General features: G+C 57.9%; 1 protein-coding gene across 15 annotated transcripts in view, besides 10 other annotated features; it reads right to left on the bottom strand.

The window, feature by feature from the left end:
- KDM4B (lysine demethylase 4B) overlaps positions 1-27,880 on the bottom strand; it is a 184,486-nt gene that overhangs the window by 37,495 nt on the left and 119,111 nt on the right. For 8 of the 15 annotated variants that reach the window (XM_005259521.5, NM_015015.3, XM_011527814.3 and 5 more), the window contains one exon: positions 5,286-5,482. In XM_005259521.5, the coding sequence (XP_005259578.2) occupies positions 5,286-5,482 (197 nt within the window). Of the gene's footprint in view, positions 1-2,763; positions 4,330-4,559; positions 4,730-5,285; positions 5,483-10,124 lie in introns of those variants that run through there. The other 7 variants (NM_001370093.1, NM_001370094.1, XM_011527819.3 and 4 more) reach the window with 7 other exon arrangements.
- Positions 27-981: an enhancer, noted in NCBI's record as "H3K27ac-H3K4me1 hESC enhancer chr19:5115134-5116088 (GRCh37/hg19 assembly coordinates)". NCBI's record gives its function as "activates a minimal SCP1, AML or CMV promoter by ChIP-STARR-seq in primed H9 embryonic stem cells {active_cell/tissue: H9 hESC(primed)}" and the evidence as "EXISTENCE:reporter gene assay evidence [ECO:0000049][PMID:30033119]".
- Positions 982-1,937: an enhancer, noted in NCBI's record as "H3K27ac-H3K4me1 hESC enhancer chr19:5114178-5115133 (GRCh37/hg19 assembly coordinates)". NCBI's record gives its function as "activates a minimal SCP1, AML or CMV promoter by ChIP-STARR-seq in primed H9 embryonic stem cells {active_cell/tissue: H9 hESC(primed)}" and the evidence as "EXISTENCE:reporter gene assay evidence [ECO:0000049][PMID:30033119]".
- Positions 4,577-5,086: an enhancer, noted in NCBI's record as "H3K4me1 hESC enhancer chr19:5111029-5111538 (GRCh37/hg19 assembly coordinates)". NCBI's record gives its function as "activates a minimal SCP1, AML or CMV promoter by ChIP-STARR-seq in naive H9 embryonic stem cells {active_cell/tissue: H9 hESC(naive)}" and the evidence as "EXISTENCE:reporter gene assay evidence [ECO:0000049][PMID:30033119]".
- Positions 5,549-6,405: an enhancer, noted in NCBI's record as "H3K4me1 hESC enhancer chr19:5109710-5110566 (GRCh37/hg19 assembly coordinates)". NCBI's record gives its function as "activates a minimal SCP1, AML or CMV promoter by ChIP-STARR-seq in naive H9 embryonic stem cells {active_cell/tissue: H9 hESC(naive)}" and the evidence as "EXISTENCE:reporter gene assay evidence [ECO:0000049][PMID:30033119]".
- Positions 12,632-12,926: a silencer, noted in NCBI's record as "tiled region #7356; K562 Repressive non-DNase unmatched - State 7:EnhWF". NCBI's record gives its function as "represses a minimal TATA promoter and a strong SV40 promoter by Sharpr-MPRA in K562 cells {active_cell/tissue: K562}" and the evidence as "EXISTENCE:reporter gene assay evidence [ECO:0000049][PMID:27701403]".
- Positions 18,854-19,354: an enhancer, noted in NCBI's record as "H3K4me1 hESC enhancer chr19:5096761-5097261 (GRCh37/hg19 assembly coordinates)". NCBI's record gives its function as "activates a minimal SCP1, AML or CMV promoter by ChIP-STARR-seq in naive H9 embryonic stem cells {active_cell/tissue: H9 hESC(naive)}" and the evidence as "EXISTENCE:reporter gene assay evidence [ECO:0000049][PMID:30033119]".
- Positions 19,355-19,855: an enhancer, noted in NCBI's record as "H3K4me1 hESC enhancer chr19:5096260-5096760 (GRCh37/hg19 assembly coordinates)". NCBI's record gives its function as "activates a minimal SCP1, AML or CMV promoter by ChIP-STARR-seq in naive H9 embryonic stem cells {active_cell/tissue: H9 hESC(naive)}" and the evidence as "EXISTENCE:reporter gene assay evidence [ECO:0000049][PMID:30033119]".
- Positions 19,866-20,366: an enhancer, noted in NCBI's record as "H3K4me1 hESC enhancer chr19:5095749-5096249 (GRCh37/hg19 assembly coordinates)". NCBI's record gives its function as "activates a minimal SCP1, AML or CMV promoter by ChIP-STARR-seq in naive H9 embryonic stem cells {active_cell/tissue: H9 hESC(naive)}" and the evidence as "EXISTENCE:reporter gene assay evidence [ECO:0000049][PMID:30033119]".
- Positions 22,331-22,878: an enhancer, noted in NCBI's record as "H3K4me1 hESC enhancer chr19:5093237-5093784 (GRCh37/hg19 assembly coordinates)". NCBI's record gives its function as "activates a minimal SCP1, AML or CMV promoter by ChIP-STARR-seq in naive H9 embryonic stem cells {active_cell/tissue: H9 hESC(naive)}" and the evidence as "EXISTENCE:reporter gene assay evidence [ECO:0000049][PMID:30033119]".
- Positions 22,879-23,428: an enhancer, noted in NCBI's record as "H3K4me1 hESC enhancer chr19:5092687-5093236 (GRCh37/hg19 assembly coordinates)". NCBI's record gives its function as "activates a minimal SCP1, AML or CMV promoter by ChIP-STARR-seq in naive H9 embryonic stem cells {active_cell/tissue: H9 hESC(naive)}" and the evidence as "EXISTENCE:reporter gene assay evidence [ECO:0000049][PMID:30033119]".

Raw genomic sequence — 27,880 nt, 5'->3', positions numbered from 1 at the left:
GTTTATGTGATCTGTTTGCTCTGGAAGCTTTCAGGGCCTTTGTTTAATCCAGGAATTGTGAAATTTCACAGCGATGCATTGTGGTTTGGGTAATTTCCATTCTTGGGCGGACTTTCTGGTGGACTTTTTAACCTGGAAATGCAAAGCCTTTGGGTCCCGGGACACTTTTCTTTTTCTGAAACTCCTATCAGGGGCTAGATTTCCTAGACTACGCCTCTGACTTCCTGATCCTTCCTATCTTCCAGCTCTGTCTGTCAGTGCTGTGGGAGGGGATTCTTCAAGGGCCTCCCAATCCACTGTGGGCTTGTCTCTTCTCTAGATGGTAACATCCGAGAGCCACTCGTTCCTGGAATGTTTCTTCTTCACAGCAATGGCTCTTTTTCCATAATGCAAAGTCCCGGCCCACTCCAGGGCCCTGCACTCACTGCATCCTCTTTCCTCGGAGCTCTGCCCTTCTTTGCTGTGCAGGCCCTGCCTTTGTCATGGGAGCGCAGCCTCCAATGTGTCGGGTCCCCTGGCCGTTGATCCCTCTGTGCACGGTGCCAAGCCGTGTGTGAGCTGGGCCTGGTGAAGGCAGTGGCAGGGGCTGCTGAGGGCAGGAGCCTGTGACTTTAGGAGAGCCCCAGTATCAGCATATGTGGCTTTGCTCCACTGGGCCCCTTTGTTCTCTGGCAGAGGACCCCCACCCCCTCTATTGTCTCTCCTGGCCTTGGGGGTTGGGGGGATGTGAGGCTGGCAGCTGGGCCCCACTGCTGACCCCAGGAAGGCGCCTCCCTTCTGCCCAGAGCCACCCACTGTCTTCTGCTGGTTGCCCCCACATCCCCCCAGCACCCCCAGGGGCTGCCCATGTTTGCCCGCTGTGTCTTTCTGAGGCCCCGTGGTACATTCCCCCTGCAGCCCTCCAGGAGCTGCCCATGTCTGCCCACTGTGTCTTTCTGTGGCCCCATGGTGCAGCCCAGCTGCTCCCTGCTGGCTGTCCTCCTGGTTGCCGGCCCATGGGGTCTCCTGCCCACCCTTCCCTGCTTTTCAAAGCCTGGAGACGTGCTCAGCTGCCACTGCCCCCTCTCCCGTTCTCTGCACTTCACTCTCTGGTGTTTCAGTGGCGTTTCAGGAGAGAGTGGAGATAAATAAGCACTTAGCCTGCCAGGCTTAACTGGACGCCGCTGGGCTCATTCCTATGAGCCAAATGTCGGGACATAGTCCAGATAACTGCACTAATATTTCCAAGGTGGAAGCAGGTGTCCTTTGCAGCTTGTATGGCAGGAGGCGGGGTGGACGGCCTCTGGCCCTGTCACCCAGTAACACAGGGCACCTGCAGCACCCAGAGTGGGACCATCAGCATTCAGTGCCGCGCTGGCTCAGGGCTTCTCACAAGGTGGGGAGGACTGGGAGGCTGGCCCCAGGCTGAGCCCTCAGAGCCGCCCACCCCCGACCCAAAGTGGCCCAGTGCTCCCCACCCCCAAGACTAGACCCTGTGCTGAGGAATTTCACCTTTGAGAAAATGAAGGGCAGCTCTAGGAAAGAGACAGGAGACAGCAAGTGAGTCCCTGAGGCTGCGCACTCCCTGCAGGGGCTGGCAGGTCCCTGTGCTCGTGAGGTTCTGTCCCTGAGGGCTGAGGTCCCTGTTGGTGGGGAGGGCTCAGGAATGCAGCTGGGGTGTGGCAGCCGTGGCAGCCCTGGCAGGAGTCGGGGCCAGAGGCGTGGCGGTGTCCTGCACTGGCGCAGGGGCGACAGGCCAAGGCAGAGCAGGAGGGGACAGGCAGCACCGAGCTCGGAGGGGTAGGGGAGACGAGGCCTGGGCCCAGCCGGGCTCACAGAGCAGCAGTGGGCCAGGGAGGCTGTGGTGAGGCGGGTGCACAGATGTCCTGCAGGGAGCGCGTACCTGCTGGAGCACGTGCACATGGCGCTTCTCGCGTGGAAAGAGTTTGCATGGAGGAGCGTCGCGTGGGTGCCAGAGAGCACTGTGAGGGCTCCGGCTCAGGCAGGGCACCAGAACGCACAGCGCCACCGGGAGTGGGGAGGCTGAGGGCACCCGCCAGGAGCCAGGCTGCAGTTTTAGGCGACCCATCCATCAGGGGGAAGAATACAAACAGCCCCCAACGCTCGCTCAACGAGATTTAGTTCTGGAAGAGACCCATGTAAGGTGGCGAGCAGGGAGTAGGCCGTGTCCTCTGAGCTCAGGCAGCTGTGCCGAACCATCCGCACCCCATGGGGCACCTGGTAAACACATGAGGGCCATCCCACAGCCACGCCGAGGGCAGGGAAGGCTGGACTGCACGGGGGTGAGGGCATGGCGCCCACCCTGATGCCATCCCTTGGTCTAGGGCAGGGGTTCCCACGCGGGGGACTGGGCGATGTCTAGGGACATCTGTGGTTGTCACGACTTGGGGCACTCCTGGCATGGAGTGGGTGGAGGCCAGGGATACTGCTCATTACCCTGCAGGGCCCAGGATGCTCCCCCAACCAGAGAAGGATCCCGCCTGTGTCCACAAGCCCCTTGTCTGGGAGACAGAGCCAGTCCACTGTGTCTCCCGATCCAGCCTGAGCCACAGATGCTCAGACAGGGCTGCCCTGGCCCCAAGATATGCCCTCAGGGAGGGAGCCTGGCTCAGGGGAAAAGGCAGGCCACGTGGAGAGGGCACTGCTCAGGGGGGAACCGACCACCTCCCTGGTGGAGGGAGGGGCAGCTTGGGCTTTGGAACGTGAGTCACCCATCTGCCTCTCCAGAGAAAAGCACCCCCAATGACTTTAAAAAAAAAAAAAAAAAGTGAATCAGCCTTGTTTTACATACTGAAGGCTTTCAAGAAAATTATATCCTTGGGAAGCTGACTTCATTTGTTATTCAGGCTTGCTGCTGGGTGAAGGCAGCCCCCAGGATGGCGGCGCGGGAGAGGGCGGGAGGGGGCTCCTGGGAGGAGCAGGTCGTGACTAGAAGTGAGGGGGTGGCCGGGGCAGGGAGGCCAGGCCAGGCCACGCAAGGGCTGGTTCTGGGGGGTCCACTTCCTGCGTGCAAAGAAGGTTCCAAGCAGCGGTGAGCGCAGCGGCTTCCGCATCTCCTCCTGGCAGGCAATTTAGACGGCCTCTAGTCCCATTCCACTCCTGGAACGTGGTGCCGGTTTATTGGCAATCCACTCTGTTGACCAATTAGCCTGAGCCACAATCAATTAACCATTATGCAAATAGCACGTCTGGCTGGGCCTGGGAGCTGGGGTGCACGAGCTCTGTGCTGCGGGGGCCGCCTGGAGTAGCCTCACCAGGAGGCAGCTCTTCATGAGGAGCACACAGGAGGCAGGAAATCAAAAGGACAGAACAAGAGCAGAAGAGACAGATTCACCTTGGCAGGGCTGTCAGGAGGGGCTGTGAAAACACTCGGGGCAGAGGGAACATTCTCCGAGAGAGGCCGCGAGGTGGGGAAGACAGAGGAGGCCGAGACAGATGCCCAGACCGCCCAGGAGTCCCAGACTCACAGACAGATGGACGTGTTGAAAAAGAAGGCGCCCATTTAGAGGAGAAGGTTCTGGACCAGAAGTGACTTTTCAGAAACCAGTTCCAAGGCCTGTTTCTGCAGAGCGTGGTGGGGGGCCAAGGCTGAGCCGCCCCCAACCTTGGTGCTCAGTGGCTGGGTCTCGAGTGGGCACCATCCATCGCCAGCTGGGACAAGATCAAGGCAGCAGAGACTGGATGGCTGCAGAGGGAAGGTCACTGCTCAAAGGGAAGGGGGAGGCTGCCCCCACACCAAGGCCACCACTGTTGGCTCAAAGACCAGACCTGCCAGCAGCCTGTCTGGGTACGACCCACAAGCTAGGAACAGTGTTTACATGTTTTTTTGTTTGTTTGTTTGTTTTCCTGGAGAGACAAGGTCTTGCTCTGTCATTCAGGCTGGAGTGCAGTGGTACAATCTCGGCTCACTGCAGCCTTGACCTCCTGGGCTTAAGTGATCTTCCTGCCTCAGCCTTCTCAGTAGTTGGGACCACAGGCGCACACCACCACACCCAGCTGATTTTTAAATTTTTTGTAGAGATGGCATCTCAATATGTTGCCCAGGCTGGTCTCAAACCCCTGGACTCAAGCAATCCTCCTTCCTTGGCCTCCAAAGTGCAGAGATTACAGGTGTGAGCGATCGTGCCTGGCCAATGTTCACATTTTTAAGTGGCTCAAAACAGAAAAATTATCGTATTTGGTAGCATGTAAAAATCATGAGATCTGGATTTCAGGGTCTGTAAACAAAGCTTCACGGACACAGCCACGCGCATTTCTTCGCTGTCTATCATCTGCAAGGGTCTTGAGTTGCCATGCGGAGTCGAGACGTCGAGACACAGGAGGCCTGGCCTGCAAAGTCGCCAAGTCACAAATGTTTGCTCTCTGGCCCTTCCCCGGAGGAGTTGGCTGAGCCCACTCTGTGCCGTCCCTCCCGGCTCCAGCTCATGCTCAGGGGCTCCCTGAATGTTCCTTGGGCACCAAACAGGAGTGAGATCTGTCGACAACTGTGCCAAGGGCAGCTCAGAGCCCTGGAAGCCTGGACACTTCCCAGAGGAGGGGCTGGGGAGGCCGGTGCTCGCCTTCACTCTGGGCATGAAGTGGATCTCCTCCTAGGCCGGGACCTGCCTCCGTGTCCCCATGGCCTCTTGTGGTCAGAAGCCAAGAGGCTGCAGATGCTTTGGCCTCTCCTCCAGGCGGACACCAGATACCTGGCTGGGAGGGTCTGTGCGGCGATACGCAGGGAGGGGTTCTGAGTGGGAGGAGGGCATCCAGGGTCACGCCCCGGGGCCGGCCTTCTGAAATCCTCTCCACGATCTCAAATCCAAGCAGCCCCACCTGATGCCCCGTTGAGTCCTTGCAGGGAACCCGACTGCTCTCAGCGCCAGGGAGGGGCCCGAGTAGCCGGACAGCAGAAATGCGGTGAGTGAGAGGGACAGGGAGCCATGTGGCTGGTGGCTCTGCTGAGGCAATGGCACGGGGCCTGGGGCCACCCAGGGTCAGCCTCCTGGCGGGGACATGACAGGGAGTATGGGGAGCCCGCGGGTGTGAACGGCACAGACGCTGCCCGCCAGAGCAGAGCCCACCCACCCCAGCAAAGCGAGGCCTCGAGAAAACACTGTGCCTCAGACTGGAGGAGAAACAGAACAGGAGGAGGAGGACGAAAGAGGAGGCGGGGTGGGAATAGGAAGAAAGGGAGGAGTGGGACACGGCCCGGAGCCCCTGCCAGTGGGAAGGGGCCTGGGCCACCCAGCAGGGCCACCCCCCGTGATGCTGGGCAGTCACGCGGCAGTCCCTTGGCAACTCACCTGCGGAGGAGCTTGGCCTTCAGCGAGGCCCGGGATGCACTCCAGGAGCTCAGCTCGGGGCTGGTGAGCGCCGTGGGCCGCGTGTGGTCCAGCACCGTGAGGTCCTTGCCCTGCTTCCACAGCTCGTAGCGCTCGGGCTGCAGGATGCGCACGAACACGTCCATGGAGATCTTGACCATGTCCTTCCGGCACGTGCACTGCGGCAGGGGACACGGTCTGAGCCCTCGCGCCACACCTGGACGGCTGGCTCCACACACCCCACCCCAGAGCAGGTAGGGCTCACGGCCCGGGCCTCCCACACCCCATCCCACCGCTGAGCATTCCGCTTCTAGAACATTTTTCTTTTCGAGACACGGTCTCACTCTGTCGCCCAGGCTGGAGTGCAGTGGTGCAATCATGGCTCATTGTAGCCTCGACCTCTCAGGCTCAAGCGATTCTCCCGCCTCAGCCTCCCAAGTAGCTGGGAATACAGGCACCCACCACCACATCTGGCTAATTCTTAAGAGAATTTTTAGAGATGGGGTCTCGCTATGTTGCTCAGGCTAGTCTTGAACTCCTGGGTTCAAGTGATCCTCTTGCCTCAGTCTCCCAAAACCCTGGGATTACAGGTGTGCACCAGCACTCCTGCTCTGTTTCTAGAACTTCTATCACAAGTCAGGAAACGGCATCCCCCAGTTGTGAGTCCCTGGTTTGCCTCCACGGAGTTGGAACGGCCACTGAGCAAACACCCAAGAGAAATGGGGGCTGGGCGCAGCTCAGTGAGGGGCCTGAGGTTCAGGACTGGGCACTGCCCCACGCACAGCTGTCCAGAGACCAGCGAGGCTGAGGTTCAGATGCCTCCTGTTGGTCCAGGCAAAAATCTCCCTCCCGTCAGACGCGGGTGCCCCCAGGTAGGTAAAAATGGATACGGAGTATTTTATAACAGCAATCGTTCCAAGAGGGCTGGGAAGAAGGGAGACAACAGCAGTCCCCAAAGAGCTGAGAGAACCAACAGGAATCCCGGAATGTGACAACGGCCCCTCCTCAGGAGGCCTCACGAGGGCGACGGTGGCCCACAGGCTCCCGCACGCCTCACCTGACTGCCTCCAGCTTGCAGGGCTGGAGGGACGACAATGTTAACGAAGAAGATGCTGAGGGTCTGGGAGGCTCAGGGACTCAGCGGCTAAGAAAGGACATTAACGTGCCATGTGCTGCAGCCGGCTTGCCTGGGGTCTTGGGGGAATTGAGCAAACACCCAATAGGATGGCCCCTTGTGTTTGGGAACGTCAAGCGAGTGGCAAGGATGAGTTGAAGTCCCCTCCAGCTGCCTGCCGGGCAGACCTGCCGCTCTCACGCCCTCAGCCCTTCCCAGGTCACTGTTCTTGGTGGCTCTGCCGCTGCGTCACTTTGGTCACACTGGGCACTGGGAAGGATGTTCTGCAGGTGACCTGGTGATGCTCAACATTTCAGGGACTTGGGGCCAGAGAAGCCAGGCCCCAGAGGGCATGAACCCAGATGCCCAAGCGGCGATTACCACCATGGCACTCAGATCCCAGGAGGCGGCCAGGAAGCTCTGGTCTGTCACGTACCTACTGGGATGAGGCTGAGATGGGGCTGGAAAAACCCCAACCTCAAGAGGAAGGGGGAAAGGGCAGGGCTGGCCAACTGTCACAGAGGCCCAAACGCTGAGTGTTTTCAGCTTCGAGAAACTCTGCACCGTGCCTCTAAAGCATCACGGATGATGGGCACATGCATGCGCATGGCTGTGTGTCAATAAAACTTTATTAATAAACAGAGGCCAGGGACAGAGTTGACCTGCGGGCAGCAGTTTGGAAATTGCTGGTCTAGATTCTAGGGGACAAAGTAGCCCCTGGGAGTCTCCACAGGCATGGGGGAGGGCCATGCGGAAGCTCGGGGCGTGGGGGGCAGAGGCACGGGCCCCCGTCTGAACGGGGCACAGACCTCATCTCCTGCTGGGGAGAGGCGGGCCCAGGGACCGCGTGCCAGACACAGGCTGCCCCGACCTCTGCCAACCCTTATCTCAGCCTCAGAAGCCCACAGGGAACTTTCTGCCTCTCCATCAAACAGGCACAGAAGAAGCCCATTTCCAAAAATCGTGAGACACTCTTCCATTTCAAGTACCTGTCTTGCTGTCACCACCCGTGCTCAATGGGATGAAGGAAATGGGAAGGGAAAGACTTAATTCAACGCAACTATTCCCTTGCCCTGACAAACCTTTCCAGGTGGCCCACACTTTGCTTGGAGACACTCACATATTTACGACCCCAAATCTGACGGGGTTGGGGACGACGGAAACCTTCCTGTGGAATTTCCTGCAGCTCGTGCCTCCCCCCACCTTACCCAGTCCCAGGGGGGCCATGGAACCTTCTGCTGGATCCAGGAGCAGGGGCTTGGGAACAGTTAGATTCCTATCATGCTGAGCAGGAGGGAATATTTGTGGCTGGGCAATTCCCAGCAAACTCAATTCATTTAATGAAAGATAGCACAGGAGAGAAAGGCTGGTGGTGTCATTTGGCCATGGAGTGGCAGGAACACAGATGGTGCCGGCGTTTCAGACTCCTGGACAGGCCGACTGCCCCGGCATCCCCATCCACAGCAGCTTAGGGGATTTGTATTGAGCGGCTTTGCAATTGCTTTTCCTTAATTAAAAAAAGCACCTGTGTGCACCCGTGGAGGGGGGACAGGCAGACACGCTCCACGGAGTGCACTGCCACGGCCTGGAGCACGGCCTGAGCCCCCTTGCCCGGCTGGGGCTGGCACGGCTCCAGATGCATCCCCTGCTCCAGGGGCTGCCACTGCCAGGACAAAGCTGCTGGTGCCAGGCTGCCCACGGCTGGACTGGAAGGAGGTGGCGGCTGGGAGCATTCCTGCAAGTCTCCACGTGGCTCTGCAGGGAGCTGGGGAGCCAGGACACCCAAGAAGCAAACAGCAGGAAGGAGGCAAGGCCGGTGGGTCACAGGGAGGGAAGCACAGCCTTCGAGGACACAGGGTAGTCGCTTCTGAGTGCTGGGCAGCTCAGCAGGGCCACAGTGTGGGAGAGAAACCCGCTAGGGCTGGTGAGGAGACCCAGCTCCCCTTAGCAGCAGCCTCCTGCTGAACATGCCCAGCCCCCACTGCGAGCCACCAACTCCGGCCTCTTCTGATCGGCTGCGTGCCTGTGGGAGCCACGTGCCCATGAAAAGGGTGAGCCAGGCCCATGAGGACTTCTGTGGGCTGTTCTACTGCAGCTGGGAAGGGTTCAGAGCAGGCCGGAGGGAGCCTCACCACAGAGTCCTCCGGCAGGGCAGACCTCGCTGTCTATTTTCATTAGCCAGGCCCCTGACTGTTCTCACCACAGCCCTGTCTAGCTCCCCACTCTCTGGGACACGGGTGTCTGTGAGGCTGTGCAGGAGTGACTGGAGGGAACAGGCCCCGCCCGCTCCAATTCCTGCTGCCCAACTTGGTGGTCCTCTGTCAGCACTCGCGACAGATAAGGAAGGCACCATCCGGGGGAATCTGGCTGTGTCATTAGTTTCTGATGGAGAAATCAGGCACAAACAGGGCAAGAGGAGGTCTGCGCGGCCCCCAAAGGCCTGAGCACGCCCCAGGGCCTGTGTCCCATCGTGTGGTGTGATACACATGGCCGCTAGAACCGTGTGCATGGGTGAGGCCGCCCTGAGAGCTGCCGGGGAAGCTGGGCGCATCTGGCCAACGCAGGGTGGCGGTGCCCCCTCAGTGCTGAACAGCCTCTGGGGACAGGTGGAGGTCCGAGACCAGGAGGTGGGGACTCAGGTGAGGAACGCGGAGCATGAAGCCAGGGTCCCACTGCCAGTCTCCACTGAGGGTCTTTGTTCCCAAATACGCCGCATTCTCTGCAGGTCACGGCCCTGGATTGCCCTGCCTTGGGGTCAGCCTCTCATCTACAGGTTGGGCCCACCAACTGCAGGCTCTCTGCCCCCACCGTTCTCCCCAGTCCTAAGATCCTGGTCTCACTGCTCTGGGCTGGGCTGGAACCCATAAGCTTCTTCTCATTCCTGGCTAAGGCCCGCAGAGCAGGGTCTCAAAGCAAGGCCCCCCCTCTTGGTGCCCCAGATGCCAAGCAGAACCCAGTTCTTGGACAGTGCTCATGTCAGGGGGCAGCCTGACCACCCTGCCAAGTGCACCTCTGGGGGCCTGGACAGTGCCGCTTGCCAGCGAATCAGCAGAGGCTTCACAGTGCTCCTGCACGCAGGAGACACGCGCTGCCCAAAGCTAGTGACAGCAGAGGGAGGGGTGGCTGCCGGGTGGCTGCTGGGTCCTGCGGAATCCCCCAGAGGAGGAGGGTGCGTCAGCATCACGGCCCCTACTCGGCCCCCAGTGAGCATGGAGCAGACCCTGGCGGCCTCAGGAGGATGCAAGGAGGAGCTGAGCAGCTCTTCCAAGCTGCAGATGACGGGTGCAACGTGGATCTTTGCACACTCCAGGCAAGCTCATCCCTAATCTCCCCCTGCTAGCGATCTCGCCTAAGGAAGGAAGGAATTCAAAGATGTCCTTTGCTTTTGTACTGAAAGACAAGTACGCTTGCACGCGCGCGCACACACACACACACACAATGACTCTAACCAAACCGTTCAACCATCGTGGACAGACTAAATAAACGACACACAACAGGGAGGTGTGCGCTGGCAAGATGCGGTCTACAGGACGCTTTCAATGACAGAAACGTCCTCAGGATGTGTCTGTTACCTGAAGAAACACAAAATGCACGGTCATGAATATAGCAAGAGCCCAATTATGGGCAGAGCTCTCTCAAGACAGGGAAATGTATCAAAACAATAACTGTGGTTCTTTCAATTGTAGGAGTAAACACTTCTGCGCTACTTATTTCTCTAAATCTCTTTATTGAGAAGGCATATCCTCTAAGGTGGGCCCATGGGCCACATCTGGCCTGCCACTTGTTTTTGTGAATAAAGTTTTATTGGCACATAGCCAGGCCCATTCATTTATGTATCATCCACAGCTGTGTTCACGCTACAAGGGCAGGGCTGAACATTCAAGATGGGGAATGCACGGCCTGTAAAGCTGCAAACAGTCACTATCAGGTCCTTTACAATAAGTTTGGGCTGGCTCAAATGGTGGCTCACACCTGTAATCCCAGCACTTTGGGAGGCTGAGGCAGGAGGATCGCTTGAGGCCAGGAGTTCAAAACCACCCTGGGCAATATAGCAAGACGCTGTCTCCACAAAAATTTATTTTTAAAATTAGGTGAGTGTGGTGGTGCACGCCTACTGTCTTAGCTACTTGGGAGGCTGAGGTGGGAGGATCACCTGAGCCCAGGCGGTCAAGGCTGCAGTGAGCTGTGATCATGCCACAGCACTCCAGCCCGGGCGACAGACTGAGACCCTGTCTCAAAAGAAAAAGCTTGCTGAAGCCTGACTTAAGTCATGAAGTAACTTTTCTAGTGTAACTCGCAGTGTAACAGCATCGGGGTGAACACCACGTCCCACAGACCAGCTTCAGCACACTCTGGGAGCAATCGCAGGTGTGTCTGTTGCAGACATGGGCAGCAGTCCCAGTTTGTACTGAGCGTGGCAGCTGCGCGCGCCCCACTACCGGCTTCCGGGCCTCTGACTGCCCCTGCCGGGAAGCAGTCCGGCTCCAGGCATGGAGAGTCCTGGCCTCCTGCTCTGCCCCGCTCTGGGTCCTGTGCCCTCTGCACCATCAGCCCAAGCCAGCCATGTACTGTGGGCACGCTGCCCCCAGAACTCAGGGGCAGCTCAGGGAGCGGGGCCATTTGCACCTCAGCCTCATGGGGACCTGGATCCTGCTGCCCGGACGGAGCCCAGGGGGTGCGACTCTCCCGGCCTCACCACCTGACCCAGCTCCAAACTCCCGGAGCCCATGGACTTTGCACATTCCGGCTGGGATGGCCCCAGTTATCTTAATGAGCCCAGACACTCATACATGGGAGAAAACAGCAATTCAGGTCCCTGAAATGACAACTTTGGGACCTGGAGTCAGGCTCTGGTTCTCCCGGGTTTGCTGAGACCTGCCCAGGGTCTGGGGAAGAGAAGAGGCACGGCCTGAGGAGTGAGGTCTTCTGTTTCTAATTTTTGGGGGGTGTGAGGGTGTCCATTTTCTCACTGACATCAGTTCCAATACGCTCCACCTAAAAGCAGTCCTATTTTGGAAGCTCCCGAGGGACACACATGAGGTCTGAATCCTGGAAGTGGCGTTCCCAGACAAAACCCCCTTCCAAGACAGAGCATCCCTGTGCCTGCTCTTTGCCGGGTTCAGAACTGTCTGGCTCACAATTGAAAGCATGTTTTAAGGACCTTTAATTTCCCAAGATTTTAGTTGCTGGAAAAAAAAAAAAAAGGTACTGATCTTAGATTAGGTTCTGCAATTGTGGCCATAAAAACCCAGAGCAAAACGGTTTCCAACTTTTAGCTCAAAAAGAGTCACGTCTCCCATGTCTGAACTATTATAGGCTCTGAATTAATGAGTCTGAATTAATGTAGTTTTACCGTGCAACGCTGGGCCCTGCCCTGAAGCAGCTCACAGTGTAACTGGGAGACAAAATAAGCACATATGAGAAGCCAGGGGACCCGGGAGCAGAAAGGGGCAGGTGCCCAGGAGCTGTGCTGGCACGCCTGCTCGTCCTGCTGCTGCCGGGGTGGAGGGGCACCAGCTGGAGCGAGCTCCTCTGCTTCTCGGGGTCCTGCCAGCGGGACTCATTGGCCAGGGATTCGGCCAGCCTCCCTGCCACCCACCCAGCAGCCACAGGACACTTTTTCCCAGATAAAAAGGGGAGGGCCAGACTGCAGGCAGCCGTGGGGAGGGCCCCTCCTTCTGCTCCTCACCCACCCCATGATGTGCGGGTGGCCAAGCCTCAGGAGCTCGGAAGCTACTCAGAAGGTGGCTGGCCTGCCCTGGTTCTACAGGAGGTGGCCGTGCACCCCCGTGCCCCATCTTCACCTCCTTAAGGACCAAGGCAGGGTGGGGAAGGGGATCAGGAAGTGAACAGGGTGTGGAGCGAGCCTCACAGAGCAAAAGCCAGGCCCCCTGGGCTCGGGGCTGTTCCCTCCATCCTTCTCCAACACAGGCCCTCCTGACATGGCTAACATGAGTCTCCACTGACAGATACCGTCACAGACCCTTAAGAAAAACCTGGGGTGGAGAGAGGGTCTAGCAGGAGGCTCGACCAGCTGCTGCAGCTGCTTGCAAATGACAGGCCCGGGATTGATGGCCGTCGAGTTCAGGGGACCTGGACTAACCTCAGCACCGCTGCTGCTGGCTGGCCCGTCAGCTGGTGCCCAAACACCAAGCCAAAGAGCTGGAAGCAGTGCGGCCGTCACCTGCCCCTGAAGACTGACGCGTCCGACAGCCCGATATTCTTGACGCAGGCCTCAGAGGACCCGCTGCTACCTTCCCAGGAAAATGAGAAAGCGGGCGGGGCTGCTGGTTTGCCTCCGGTTATGCAGAGCGGGACCCGACGCAGAGATAAATAGATTTCTTTTTTCCAAAGCATGAAAAAATACAAATCAGAATGTCGATGGGCTCAGAGCCAGCAGCCGCAGAGCCCAGGGCCTGCTTCAGGACGTCGTGCCAAGCGAAATTGGCTCGTGTGGTGCCTGCTGCAGAGAGCGGGGGAAGGGGTCAGAGAGCTGAGGAGTGGCCAGGGCTGCCCGGTGCCTGCAGGAGGCACACATTGGCCCTGGGCTCTGCACACTCACCGGCCCCACTGGCAGCAGTGCCTTCCAAAAGGGGGTGCCCCCAACTGCCCCACACATCTGCCCTGTCCTGCAGGCCATCACCAGGACTGGCCTGTGTGGGAGAGGTGGGTACGTGGTGGGCAGGGCCGTTGCCAGGAGAGGCGACTATGGCTCCACCTTGCACTCTCCAGGGCTTTAAAGTGAAATAAATTTAACCTTTTCATGGGAATAAATATTAATGCCCAATAAAACCTGGAGATCTTATTACTTAGTATCGCCACAGCACCGGACGTGAAGAGCTCTTCACTGCTCTGAGACTGCTCCCAGGGAGGCCAGAGAGAGATGCTGACGTCAGGGGCGGCATCCACAGGCCACAGTGGACCAGGGCTCTCCTATGGGCGGGGCGGGTGCTGCACCCATCACCCGTCACCCGTCACCCGTCGCCCGCCGCCCATTGCCGGTGAAGGGAGAGCCTGAGGGGAGCCGGGGCCTCGATTCCCTGCTGTGGTGCGAGATCCCTCCCAACGCCAACAGCAAGAGACCGGGAGTGGCCCCAGATGCCACCCCGGCCCCGGCCCCATTCCTCCCCTGCTCCCCTGGCCTGTGGAGGCTCAGCCCCTCTCCCAGACTTCCCAGGGGTGTCCAGCTCCACCCTCCCCCAGGCTCTGGCCTTCATCCTTGGTGACTTCCACATTGGTCTGCTGACCCTTCAAGGGAGGACCCCTAGAAGGCCTCACTGTCTCCACTCCCTGCCAGGCAACACCACATCCCTCCTGGGCAGCCAGAGGCAACTGCAGGAAGGAGGCCACGCTCATGGCTCCTGGCTCTAAGTGATGCCTTGGTAGGCTGGCAAGCCCACGCCACCCATCTCTCTCCTGAAGCCACGAGAAAGTGCCTTTAGGGAGGACACACCTGCAAGGACAGGGAGGATGGAAAAGGAGACGACAGCAGGCTGGGGGTGGGACGTGGCGAGCAGACGGACGGCCACCAGGGAGCCATTCCCAGCAGAGACACGGATGGTGGTGGCGGGCACGCACCCCACGCCTCATGGCCCAGGGTCCCCTGGAAACAAGGGTGGGGGTGCTCAAAACGGAGGTCTGCGCGAGGACTGCCGCAGCACCCGACCCCTCCTGGCACCCTGGCGGCCGCCTGCCCCTCCTCGCTGGACTCCCTAGGATCATTTACTGGGGAGGCCAGAGAAGGTGGGTGTCTGGGCTGGGGACACTGGGCACAGTGGAGGATGTGGGTGACACCCTTAGGAGCCCAGGCAGGAGGCTGGAGGGCTACTCCCTGTGCAATCCGGCTGGCCCAAGGGGAGAGACCCAAAGGGCCTGATGTGGGCTCCCCCATAACAGCCCACCCAGGTATCCCCGGGAAAAGCACCGAGTGAGGCCCTCCCCGCCCTTCCCCTGCATCCACAGCCCACCCGGATCTCCCCAGGAAAAGCAACAAGTGAGGCCCTCCCCGCCCTTCCCCTGCATCCACAGCCCACCCAGACCTCCCCGGGTAAAGCACCGAGTGAGGCCCTCCCCGCTATCCCCTTGCATCCCAACCCATCACCAGCATCCATTGCCCACTTGGGTTTTTTGGGTTTTGGGGTTTTGTTTTTTTTTTTCAGACAGTCTTACTCTATTGCTCAGGCTGGAGCTGGAATGTGGTGGCGTGATCACAGCAGCTCACTGCCGACCCCGAAGTCCTGGGCTCAAGCAATCCTCCTGCCTCAGCCTCCCAAAGTGCTGCACTACAGGCATGAGCCACTGCACCTAGTCCCTCACTTGTAATCATTACACTAGATCGTTACCCCCAAGCATCAGAGAGATGGGCCTGCACTATGATCCCCAGAGATCAAAATAAACTATCAAAAAAAAAACAAAAACCTGGTAAGAAACAGAGGACAGAGAAGATTTTTTTTTTTTTTTTTTTGAGACGGAGTCTTGCTCTTGTTGCCCAGGTTGGAGCGCAATGGCACAACCTCGGTTCACTGCAACTTCTGCCTCCTGGGTTCAAGTGATTCTCCTACCTCAGCCTCCCCAGTAGCTGGGATTACAGGCACCCACCGCCATGCCCAGCTAATTTTTTGTATTTTTAGTAGTGACAGGGTTTCACCATGTTGGCCAGGCTGGTCTTGAACTCCTGACCTCAGGTGATCCGCCCGCCTCAGCCTCCCAAAGTGCTGGAATCACAGGTGTGAGCCACCGTGTCCAGCCAGAGAAGACATTTTCAAAAAGAATTTAAACCTATCGTCAATCAATATCCTCAGAAATAAAAGATACTACATCATGAAAGAAGAACGGGGCTTATAACAAAAGGAATATTCAGAAGACAAAAAAGGGCAGAAATGAAAAACACCAATAAAAACACATCAATAGACAGGTTAAGTGAGGAAGCTGAGGAACTCTTCCAGAAAACAAATTAATAAAAAAGACAAAGAGGCCAAGTGTGGTGGCTCACGCCTTAATCCCAGCACTTTGAGAGGCCGAGGCGAGAGGATCACTTGAGGTCAGTTCAAGACTAGCCTGGGCAACATGGCGAGACCCCATCTCTACAAAAAATTAGCCAGTGTGGTGGCACACACCTGTAGTCCGAGCTACACAGGAGGCTGAGGCAGGAGGATCACTTGAGCCTAGGAGTTTGAGGCTGCAGTGAGCTATGACTGCACCACTGCACTCTAGGCTGAGACTCTGTCTCATTTCAGAGTGAGATCCTGTCTTGAAGACAACAACAACAACAACAACAACAAAAACAAAAAAGACAACGTAGAAAACGGAGGTGGGGAAGATAAAGTGGAACACTAGTTCTGAAAGCCCAATAGCGAGTGATGGGAGTTTGAAATAGAAACAAGAAAGACAGGAGAGCAAATAATCAATGAAACCATTCAAGAAAGTTTACCAGAATCATGGGAAAGGTTGGAAAAGATGGATGGAAAGGCCCAAGGAGGGGCAAGTGACAAAAATCAGACACGTATCAGGTACCCAATGAGGGGACTTCAGGACACTTGGGACACAAAAAGGGTTCAATAAGCCTCCAGAAGGGAGAAAAACAGGTCCCACACCAAGGATGAGGAATCAGAGGAGCATCTTTGTGCCAGCAGCACTGAATGAGAACCACGGATGGGTGCAGCCTTCGAAGGGACTTCGATACCCAGCCAAACTATCCGCCACCCAGACAGCAGCTTCTCCTGCACAAGTTCTTCTACTTTGTTGCCTAACCATCCTGTGGAGTTTTTGGTTTCATTTTCAAATTCTGCCCTTTCCTTATTTCTCAAGGTTCTGGAGGCTGGAAAGTCCAAGATCAAAGCACTGGCAGATTTGGTGTCTGGTGAGGGTCACTTCCTGGTTCTTAGATGGTGCCTTCTCACTGTGTCCTCCTCTGGTAGAAGGGGTGAGGGAGCTCTCTGGGGGCTCTTTTATAAGGGCTCTGATCTCCTCCATGAGGGTGCCACCCTCAGGCCCTGTTTTCAAATGAGAAAAGTCTCAAAACTTTACTGCCTGTGTTCCTTTCTCAAGAAGCCCCTGGAGCATATGTCTCTCAGAAATGAGGTCACAGCAGGTGTGGAGGCCAAAGCAACTCCATCTTGGATGCTAACCTGCCATGTTGGCTTTTGATTAACCCCCATTCTGGGAAGGCCTCTGAGATTTCCAGTTCATCTACTGCTCCTTGTATAAGAGCAGGTACTTACTGTAAATCTTGCCCTTTGGTCAAATGGCCCTTGAGGTTTCCATATTTCAATTGTCTTGCACATCCCAAAACAACCCTTCCCTATGGTATATAAGCCCTGGGTCTGGGGGTGATGGTGCAGGGATCCACCGTCTTGTCTCACTACCGCCACCCAAGACACAGACATGGCTTCTCGTTGTAAATCCTTATTAAATGTTTCTCTCTGAGAAACTGAATGCCAGCTTCTTTCTTTGGCCTCTCAGCATCCTTGGACTTTGGGGTATTTGCACAGACCTGCTCATCATGTTTAAAGAGAAAGGAAACAAATGGGCCTTCTGGTGCCCTGCAATCCTCTCCACTGCCCACTGCTACCCAGTGTGTGCCCAGCACTACTGGAACCGGAGGTTGTTCTATGTGACCAGGTTCCCCTGAAAGTATCTCTGCCAAAAGGAAAGAAAGCAGCAACTAAAGGCTCAGAAATCCACCCTGCACATTCCTTGGAGGCAGGGATGAGGGAAATGGCATGTGAGGAAGTGACTGGAATGAACCTTTTGTCTTAGTCCATTATTGAAACAAAATACCATAAGCTGGGGGCTCATAAGCAAATTGCTTATTTCTTATGGTTCTGGAGGCTGGGAAGTCCAAGATCAGGGCACTGGCAGGTCTGGTGTCTGGTGAGGGTGACTTCCTGATTCTTGGCATCTTCTCACTGAGTCCTCCCATGATGGAGGGGGCGAGGGAGCTCTCTGGGGGCTCTTTCATAAGGGCACTGATCCCATCAATGAGGGCATCACCCTCATGCCCTCGTCGCCTCCCAGAGGCCCCATCTCTTAATACCATCACCCTAGGGAGGGGTATGAGCACTCAACAGATGACTCTGAGGGGACACAGACCTTCAGTCCATGGCACCTTTCTAGGGAACTAGATGGACCAACCTCGTGCTGCCAGGGGTTTTAAATGAGGTAACACAAGCAAACCCCACAGGCTGGGCAAGTCAGGGCCACCATGGGAGCACTTCCTGTTATAAAGCAAGACCTGCCAGTCACCTACAAGGGAACAGGCAGGGCAGCTGTTCTCCGGTCTGAATTCCCAAGCCTGTCACTCTAATCTAATGCCTGAGATTACGCCTTCTGAGCCATAACGATCCCATGCAAAATGCCTGAAATCCAATGAAACTGGAGTGCTTTTGTAAACTGTAATAAAAAATAAAATAAAAAACATACTGAATGCCAGACCTTCCTTTAACATCATATTGCAAAAGAAATCCGCTCCCCAGAGGCCGAGTCCCCCCTGCTGTTAATGGGGCTTCTACTGACCATGTACTACACATGGAGGCTGCCACGGAGGCTACACACTGAGGAAGCCCCTTGGCCACCAGCCCTGGCCCAGCTGGGGGCTGTGTCTGCCTCTGCCTCTGTGCCCTGCCTTGCTCTGCACTTGGACAAGCACTTTTGAAGCCCCTCCTGGTGGGGCTCGGGCAAACATGCAGAAACCTTCCACAGAGCTTGACAGCTCCCGACTGACATTTGCGCCCCCCATGCCTGAGATCCAAAGAAGCTGGGGGCCCCAGGTCCACGACGGCTCTGCTGAGCTGAGGAGGAGGAGGGTTCCCATCTCACTGGTGGCCGAGGGGAATCATCCTTGCTGGGCACCTCCCACAGGAGAACTCCAAGCCAAAACGGAGACAGAACTCATAGACTTTCTGGAACAGCCAACACTGCACCCAGTACCCAGCTCCAGAAGAACAAAAGGGAAGGTGGCCAACGCGCTCTCTGCCCTGAGGCCCCAGCCTCCCGACACACAGGGCAGCGGTCCTCTGCTTTTCATGTCAATGACATCCTACGGTCCCTGCTCTGCGCCTTGCCTTTTCCATGGGGCACATTTGGGAAATGCTCCCCATCAGGACCGAAGGAGCAGCTCCACCAAGGCCTGCACAGGCCAGGCGCGGCGGCTCACGCCTGTCATCTCAGTGCTTTGGGAGGCCAAGGCAGGAGGATCCCTTGAGCTCAGGAGTTCAAGGCCAGCCTGGACAACATAGTGAGACCCCAACTCTACAAAAACTACAAAAAATTAGCTGGGCATGGTGGTGCAATACCTGTAGTCCCAGCTACCCGGGAGGCTGAGGTAGGAGGATTGCTTGATCTCAGGAGGTCAAGGCTGCAGTGAGCTATGATCGCACCACTGCACTCCAATCTGGAGTTTTTGGAGACTGTCTCAAGAAACAAAACAAAAAACAAAACCACGAAGCCTGGATGGCCGACTGATGCGCCACGTGGGGCTTTACAGCCTTTTACTACATATTTAAGAATCCTGTGTACGGTGAGATTGACATCTTGGTGGCTTTGGTTACCATTCACCTCCTTCCCTTGGTGACTCTTCTTCGTGAACAGGCACCATCCCCATCACCCGATGGCCATGGGGCACGTGCCTTGTTCTTTTCTCCCCGCCCTGCTGACTCCACACCACACATGCTGCCAGCCCGTGCTCTTTAAAGTGTCGATTCTGGTGGAAGCCACCCTGTGTGGCCTCACAAGCCCTTCCCTAGCATGGGATGTTTACAATCACTCACAGGTTTCCCTCAGCCTTCTCTGAGCTATTAAGGCAAATCCAGAAACGGAGGGACACTTCCTCCACCAGGCAGGCGCCACGGCAACACGCACCACCGACACCGCCGGGGGCACCGCGGGACACCTCCTCCACCAGGCAGGCGCCACGGCAACACGCGCCACCGACACCGCCGGGGGCACCGCGGGACACTTCCTCCACCAGGCAGGCGCCATGGCAACACGCGCCACCGACACCGCCGGGGGCACCGCGGGACACTTCCTCCACCAGGCAGGCGCCATGGCAACACGCACCACCGACACCGCCGGGGGCACCGCGGCAACAGGCGCCACTGATGTCACCAGCGACTCCAGTGTAGAAATGCCACATCGCACGGAAGTGAGAAACTGGGGTCTGGGCAGGGGCACTGAGGTCAGCAGGAACCCCAGGGGTTGCCCAAGCCCGTGGAGACCTGGGACCGTGCTCCCCATCCAAGGTGACACCACTCCATGCTGCCAGGAGTCCGGATGGGGTAGGGTTGTGAATATTCCCCACGCCATGGCCAGGCGCGGTGGCTCACGCTTGTAATCCCAGTACTCTGGGAGGCCAAGGCGGGTGGATCACTTGAGGTCAGGAGTTCCAGACCAGCCTGGCCAACATGGAGAAACCCCACCTCTACTAAAAATACAAAAATTAGCCAGGTGTGGTGGCGCACCTGTAGTCCCAGCTACTCAGGGAGGCTGAGGCAGGAGACTCGCTTGAGCCCGGGAGGCAGAGGTTGCAGTGAGCCGAGATCACACCACTGCACTCCAGCCTGGGTGACAGTGCAAAACTCCACCTCAAAAAAAAAAAAAAAAAGATTCCCCACACTGTACACCGGCCCTGTGTGCGCCTCAGTCTGTGGCCTACATTTCCATAACACAAGGACCTCCTCCTAAAACAAGCTCCCTGTGAAGCTGACTTTTCGGCAGCCTGCCCCTTGGTGGGGCGCACACTCTGCCTCACAGCGGCTGGGGTCCATAGCACCCACTCTATAGACTGGGGGCCCCTGCCAGGGTCTGATTCCCAGGGAAACACACACACAAACGACATGCTCGCACATAAGTGCTGCACACACTCAAGCCTGCAGCTGCTGGGGGAGGGTCCCCAGGTTGAGGAGTCCGACCTGGCTGCTCCGGGCCCTCTCCCTCCTCCTAGCAGGCTCTGCCCTGCCCTGGCCAGCCCCTTGTGATCTGATCCAGGTTGAGGGGTCCACCCTGGCTGCTCCCAGCCCTCTCCCTCCTCCTAGCAGGCTCTGCCCTGCCCTGGCCAGCCCCTTGCGATCTGATCCACACTGTGGGGGCGTCCAGCACCGAGGCTCGTGGGCCCCCAGCTCTCAGTGTGCAGCAGCCTGGCTGGCAGCATCATCACAGGACCCTGGCCACCTGCAGACACAGTGGGCTACCACTGCTGCCTTGGAGCCCAGGGGGCTCATCTGCCACCTTTCCTGATTTAAACAGCACTGAGCTTTCACCAGAGGCCATCTCTTTTTTAAAAGCCTGAACAGATACTAGAGTCTGCTCATGTAAAACAGTAGAGTGGCAGAGAGAAGACACAGCCACCGGCCTAATGAGAAAATGATTATATGTGGTCCGATAAAATCATCAACCCAAATAGCATCTGACCACGGGGATCATGAATGCTCTCGTCAGCTGCAGCGCCAACTCCCAGCCCCCTGATCCAGGAACCAGGGCGGAACATTGAGGACAATGCCAGCCACCAGCGGGCGGTTCTACAGCCGACGGTGACAGACATTGCATGGCTGGTGCTTGCCCTGCTGTGGACAGGGATGGGGACGGGCAGGGGCCTTAGAAACAGCGATCCTGGCGTGGGGAGGGCACAGCATCTCATAGCTGCCGACAGGACATCTATGGCTCAACACGTCCCATCCCTCACACTGCCCCTGCCCCGCCCCCGGCGCCGCCCCCGAGCTGCAGACCCCTCCACAGGACGCATCAGCTGCACGGTGACAGGACTGTCTGTGGTGACGGCGATGACCTGCACCTGCGCTGCCCAGGACACGGCCACCAGCCCACCCGGCTATTAGCAAAGGGCTTGACCCGCGGCTGGCCTGACTGAGGAGTGGAGGGTTCATCCTATTTCATTTTGGTTAATGGATACGGTGCTACGTGTGGCCCGTGGCTCCCACACTGGAAGGCAGGCTCTGACGCATCTCAACAGCACACCCAGTCCTGGCTCCTCCATGTCCCTCTGTGCGCTCCCAGCACCACCGCACACCTACATGCCCAAGTCCCCACCCCTCCCCTGTGCCCCCACCTCTGTCCTATCACCAGGTCCTACAGGCACCACCCCTAAAACACAGGCACACGCTGTCCCCTTCTTCCCACGCCCACAGACCCCATGCCCGTCTAGACGGCGGCCATCCACGCCGGGCTCCCTGCCCCATCTCTCCCATAGTCCCTTCTCCAGCCAGTGGCCCCTCTCCCTTGCTGAAATGCCCAGTGCCTCCCCCCCGCACATGGTGATGAAATCTAACTTCAAAGGCCCTTACTGCAGCCCCCGACCTCTGACGTTTGGCCTCTGCCAGGTCCCCCGCTCAGGGACCTCGCAATTTTCGTTCCTCCCCAGCAGTGCTGTTCCCCGCGCTACTCAGCATCCTGCACCCGGGGCCTCACAGAGGAGCTTTTCTGAAGCAGGGTGGTAGCAGCTGTCATCAGTGCATGATTCACATATGGGATCAGGGCCTGCCGGGGGTCAGCACCTGGTGCCCTTAGAAGCAGACAAGAGGACACAAAGACAGGGAGGAGGGGCCGCGTGACCATGGGGCAGAGGAGAGGGCGACACCCCTGCAAGCCAAGCAGCCCTGAGATCTCGGCCAGCCCTGAAGCCAGGAGAGGCAGGGTGGTCTCCCTGGCGCCCTGAGGGGGCTCGGCCCGCCACACACCCATCTCAGCCTCTGCCTCCAGAACTGAGAGAGGATACATGTCTGGTGCTTTCAGCTGCCTGGGCTGTGGACTGGGCTACCCAGGTGGCAGACACACCAGGCCGCAGCTGCAGCGTCCCTGCACCCTCTCTAGGAGCAGAAATTCCTCCTTCCACCCTTGTTCGTGTCCTGTCTCCTCCCTGGACCTCGATGGCCTCATCCACTGCCTTCCCAGCAGCTGAACAGTGACCTGCGCGGTGACCACTGCCAAGCAGACACCAACCGGGGCGAGTGGCGGTCACACTCCTCTCACAGCCATCTCGACCATCTGTCTGGGGTGGGTGTGGGTGGCAGGTGCCTTGGCACACAAAGCGTTAAACACCGAGGAAGGGGCAGAGGCGCCCGCATCTGCGCTGATGGCTCACAGAACGCGTGGGAAGGACGAGTGGGCCCCCTGTTTCTGATGTAATTATCAGCGCTGCAGTGAGGCCGATAACAAACCAGTTCATTAGGAAACCTACTGGAAGTGCTCGGCAGCCGCGTCAACAAAACAATTAGGCGCCGGCTCCCAGGGCTCCCTGGGCTTCGGCTGCGGGGCCATTCCTGGCAGCACAGAAAGCGGCTCCCTGCCCCTCCCGGCCAGCCAGGCCAGGCAAGGTCACGGGCCTTCCATGGCCTTCCGCAGCCTTCCATGCTGCCCACACATCCACCAGGTGCCTGGGGAGGCTCCGATGTCCCCTTTGGCCCTCCCTAAATGAAAGTAGCCTCGAGTCTATCAGTGTTGTGAGCCCCTGCAGGGACATGACAAGCAGGCAGCTGCACACCTGACCCCAGGCCACCAGGACCTGCCTTTCTCCTCCACATGCTGCCCTGAAGGGGCCTCAACAGCCACAGCAGTCCTGCTTCTGTGCCAGGCACCACCCAAGTGCTGTTCCATGTCACTTCCAACAGCCCTAGGAGGGAAACTGAGGCAGAGCACTAGGAGGGGAGGGTCTGCACCCAGGCAGACAGCTCCAGGTATGAACCACAGGCCCCATGAAGGGTCACACCTTGGGTGGGGAGAGGACATGTGGTCAGGGGTACAGGGGCCCGGCCTCCCCTGATCCCTCCTTGCCAGCAGTTGCCCCTGGAGGTTCTCTCTCACTCTCCAGGTTACGACTCATCCACGACGGCTGAGGAACAGCCATGAGCCGGGATGCCCTGAGATGGCAGAGGGGAGAACTCCACCATTTCTGACTCAGGGCCAGGCCCTGCGAGCCCCCTCCTCTGACTCTCCTGCTTCTCTGACGGCTGACCCCTGGGCTCCCTCGCCAGTGCCCCTCGAGGGGGTCCTGCCTCTGCCTGACCCCGTAAGCAGACCCGCTCCTCTGATGCCAGGCAGCAACCAGCTGCAGCCCCCGAACCAGCTCTGTCCATGAAGGATGGTAGAGAAGACTGGGGGCTGCCGAGCTGGCAAAGGCCCTCGAGCCACACCACGAGCCTCGGTCTAGAAAAGCCCCCGACCCTCCTCTGGGGAGATGTGTCCCCCCCGGAGCTCCTGGGCAGCAGAACCGGGGGTATTAGAGGGCGTGATCCCGAAAGCCGAGAGCAGTGGGAGAAAGGAAGGAAGGGCCCGCAGGGAGCCTGGAGACCCAGGTGTCTTCAATGGGTGGCCCTGCCCCCATGGGAGTGGATGTGCCTGCCGATGTTGTGGTTGAAACAGCTGGGTTGGGGTGTGCCTGGCATGGAGTGGGTGGAGGCCAGGGGCACTGCTCAGCACCGTGCAGTGCCCAGGACGGCCCCAGCCCAGAGAAGGATACGGCCCCAATGTCCGCAGTGCCGAGGGAGAGACTAAACGAGGCCTTCTTTCCAGACCACTCCTCTCCTAGATCACCCTCCAGACATGCAGCATAAACACTAGGCCAAGAGCCAGCATGGGACCCACTCATTCTGGCCCGGCCCGGGATCCGCTCCGCCTGGTCTTAGCTGCAGATTCTCCCCACGCTTCTGCGTGACTGTGACACCCCCTAAGCCCACACATGGGAAGGGGCCCCAAAGGCCTCACCAGGGTCAGAGTGACAGGGAAGATCTGGGAAGAGCAAGGGAGACATATTTCACACAGCAGTTTGCGGCACACACGATGCGTCCAGCCCCACAACGCCATAAATCAGAGGCTCACTGAGGCAGGAAGCCAAAGGCAGGGCACAGGCCAGCCGTGGGCTCCAGCGGGTCAGAGGAGTGGCTGGAGTTTCCCGCACCTCCGTGGGCCCTCCTCCCTCCCACCCTTCCCCAGCCCCTGCCTTCTGCCGCCTCCCCCTGGGCTCCCTCCCCCTGGGCTCCGGGTTAATCACCTGGAGCAGGCAGCCTCATTACCAAACAGAAGGAACACACAGTTCTCCCAGGCAGCAGAAACAATTTGGTTTGAATTTTACAGTAATTAAGTTCAGTACACCCCAGGGCTGGGGTTTTAGGAGAGGCCTGGTTCCTGCCGGAGCCCCCATCCAGCCTGGATGCGGGGAGGTGGGAGGAGATGGGTGGTGCCGAGTGGGCCGTTTCCTGGAATGGCGCCTCTGGGGAATCCAAGTCATCGTCCCCTTCCCAAGCTCAGCAGAAGCTCTCCCTGCCAGACACCTCCAGAGAGCCCGAGATGTCCCCGGGGAGGCTGGCACACAGCAGGCCTCACCCACAGACAGCTGGCAGGGAACCAGTTAAGAGAGCGTGAGTGGCTCCCCAGCCTTCCAGCCAGGCTTCACATCTCTCGCGCTCTGTTTAATCCTCAGTCAACTCTCCCCGTGGCAGGGTGTTTCGGGATGCCGCTGAGTCCTGGGCTCTGGAGGAGAGACCCTTATCTACCAGCACCAGGCACCACCCACCTCGGGGCCAGCCCGGCCGCGTGCTGAGCTAATCTAACATGGCGTGCAGGCTTGTAGGACTAACTTGAGTTCAGCGTGAGAAAGGCGGCTGCGTGCACATTTTATTTCCTTGAGTGAAATAGGAACATCCTTTTGATCTGCCCCATTAGTAATCCCACTACAAAGCCTGCCTGCTGGAGCACATGCCGGGGGATCCTGCTCTGAGACAGGAAGCCGCCGCCTTGGAGACCCCTCCAGCTGCCCCCACCGGGCTGTGCACAGGACACGTGCCCAGGACACGAAGCCACTGGCCCAGGAGACACCTGGTGGGCAGGGAGGGTGTGGGCTCCCAGATGCCCCATCGGCCTGTGCCTCCAAGTGGGGCAAGGGAAGCAGAGGAAGGTCTAGGGTGTGCTGGGCCCAGCCTCCTGCTGTGTGACCTTGGCAAAGTCACTGCACTACTCTGGTCCTCCCAAGGTGACAAGGCCCAGAGTCGGCACTTGATGGAGGGTGGTACTGTCGGCGGTGGGGGGAAGGGGGGGCCGGAGGGGGGCGCACGCGCGCAGCGGGGAGACAGAGAGAGAGAGAGAAAGAGAGGGAGGGGGGAGAGGGGGAGAGAGCAAGGGGGAAAGAGAAGGGGAGAGAGAGAGGGGGAGCGGGGAAAGAGGGGGAGAGGGAGAGAGAGGGGGCGAGAGGGGGAGAGAAAGAGAGGGGGGGAGAGAAAGAGGCGGAGAGAGAGGGGGAAGAGAGATGGGGGAGAGAGAGACAGAGGGGGAGAGGGGGAGAGAGAGAGAGAGGGGGAGAGATATGGGGGGAGAGAGAGATGAGGAGAGAGAGAGAGAGAACGTTACCACTGAGACAGCTCTAGCTGAGAAAGAGACTTCTCAAAACGAACCGGGTACTGCACCCTAAGCCTCAGCCTGGCGAGGCCAGGGCATGCAGCGAGGTGTGTGGCTAGGGAGGCAAGCCTGCTGTCCTCTGCACTCTCACCTCTCCCTGGCAGACCCAGGGGCTAGGACCCCTCCCCTGCACACGGCAGGCGCTCAGCAATGCTGGGCTGGGCTTCCAGGACCTTCCACTCTGTCCTCTTTCCAGCACTGCCTCACCTGCTCAGCAGGGAGGAAGGGGGCCAGGCTTTGGGGGTCTTCACAGTTTTTGTGTTTTTGTCTTGTTTCCCCCTTTTTGTGGAGAATGGGGTCTCACTATGTTGCCCAGGCCGGTCTTGAACCTCTGGAATCATGCAACCCTACCTCGGCCTCCCTAAATGCTGGGATTAGAGGCATGAGTCACTGCGCTTGGCCTTTTGTTTGGTTTTTAACTCCCATTCTGAAAACAAACCAACGAAGCAACAACAACAAAAACCTTTTCCACTTGGGAACTGTGGGGTGCTTGCTCAAGAAGCACCTAGGAATGGCGGACCCCACTCTTCCCTCCCCAGAGCTACACCCCTCTGACTATGGAAAGAGGAGTATGTGGGTTTTTTTTTTTTTAGTACAAAAAAAGACAGAACCATATTGAGAAGTTAGTGCATATTTTTAAGGTATCCCAAATTCCATGACATCAAACTAATATCAACCAATACTTGGGCAAATCTCCCTTTCCCAGTTCAAGAACCACATCCCCACAAAAAACGGGAATCACAAGAGTCCCAGTCCACAGCCTATTTTTTCCCTTAAAGTTGTCGCGCTCATCTCTCCATGCCCAAAGATACAGAGCAAACCTCATGGAGCAAACCCATTTTCACAGCTGCATAACATTCCACTGGTTCAACCCATCCCCTGGTCATAGAACTTTCCACTACAACAAACGGGGCTACAGATATCCCTAGACATGGAACCGGTATGCACGTGTTCCAGAGACAGAACCGCTAGGCCACAGGAGACACATGTGTAACCCATGGCAGACGGCCTTCCAGAAAGGCTGCCCAGTTTTTATTCTGGATTACTGTTCCTGATTTGCTGAGAGCTGATCTGGGGGAAGGATGTTTCTGGACAGTTTCAGTGAGATTCGTGTGCCCTACAATTCACCAGGTGTGCGACGCAGGAGCTTGTGTATTCACAGAGTGGGGAGACCATCTTCGCCATCAAAGGTAGAGCATTTTCATCCTCCAAAGAAAACCCGTCCCCATCCGTTGTCACCCTCCAGCCCCCACACCCAAGCATCCCTTCCTGCCTCTGAGCACTGGCTTGTCCCGGACATTTCATAGAAATGGGGTCTCGCACGGTGTAGCCTCTGGGTCTGGCTTCTCTCACTGAGCGGGGTGTCCTCAGGGTTCACCCACGCTGGGCCTTGCTCCTTCTCATGGCTGAGCGGATGGCAGAGATGGTAAGGTCAGCTCCCACTTCTCTTTGTTTACCGTATTCCCCAGTTTCCAACAATGCACATTCTTCCTTCTGTATCTGCCCCAAGGGATGTGCGGATGAAGCTGGCAGGGGCGTCCTGCTCCTCTGCCTCTTGAGGATGTCAAAATCTCCCACTGTCATCCTGCCCCTATAACCACAACCTGCTCTTTTGCGGGGGGGGGGAGGGGGGGGGCCTGGCCTGTCCCCTGCAGCCTCAGGGGCCCCCTCAGGGACTCCGGTGGTCTCTGCTCAGCCCTGGCCCACAGATGAACGGCCTAGGTTTTGATTAATTATGGAAAAGCCTGCCTACTTATCACGGGTGGAGCTGTGGGCAGGGGCAACCTCCCCCCCATCGACCTCTGCTCTAGATGGAAGTCGAACCCAGCGCTCTGCTCAGCTCTAGGGGCCAGGGGAGTGAGGGTTTGTATCCGTGGTGTCCGAGTGATATGGCCTGCGTGGTCCAGGAATCACGGGGGGAGTTGGAGACAAAGCCCGGGCCGCATTTTTACACTCACCTCCCTTTGATCAGAGCGAGTTTTTGCAGGAGCCGCTAAGAGCTGGATGTGAGCGCATCTGGCTGATGGAACCGTGCTCCAGAGGAAGCTAAGCCGCCGACTCCCTGCCC

Source organism: Homo sapiens, chromosome 19 (genome assembly GCF_000001405.40).
Source record: "Homo sapiens chromosome 19, GRCh38.p14 Primary Assembly".
Taxonomy (NCBI): domain Eukaryota; kingdom Metazoa; phylum Chordata; class Mammalia; order Primates; family Hominidae; genus Homo; species Homo sapiens.
Note: the sequence above shows the minus strand (reverse complement) of the source record. Positions and strands in the feature narration are given on the sequence as shown.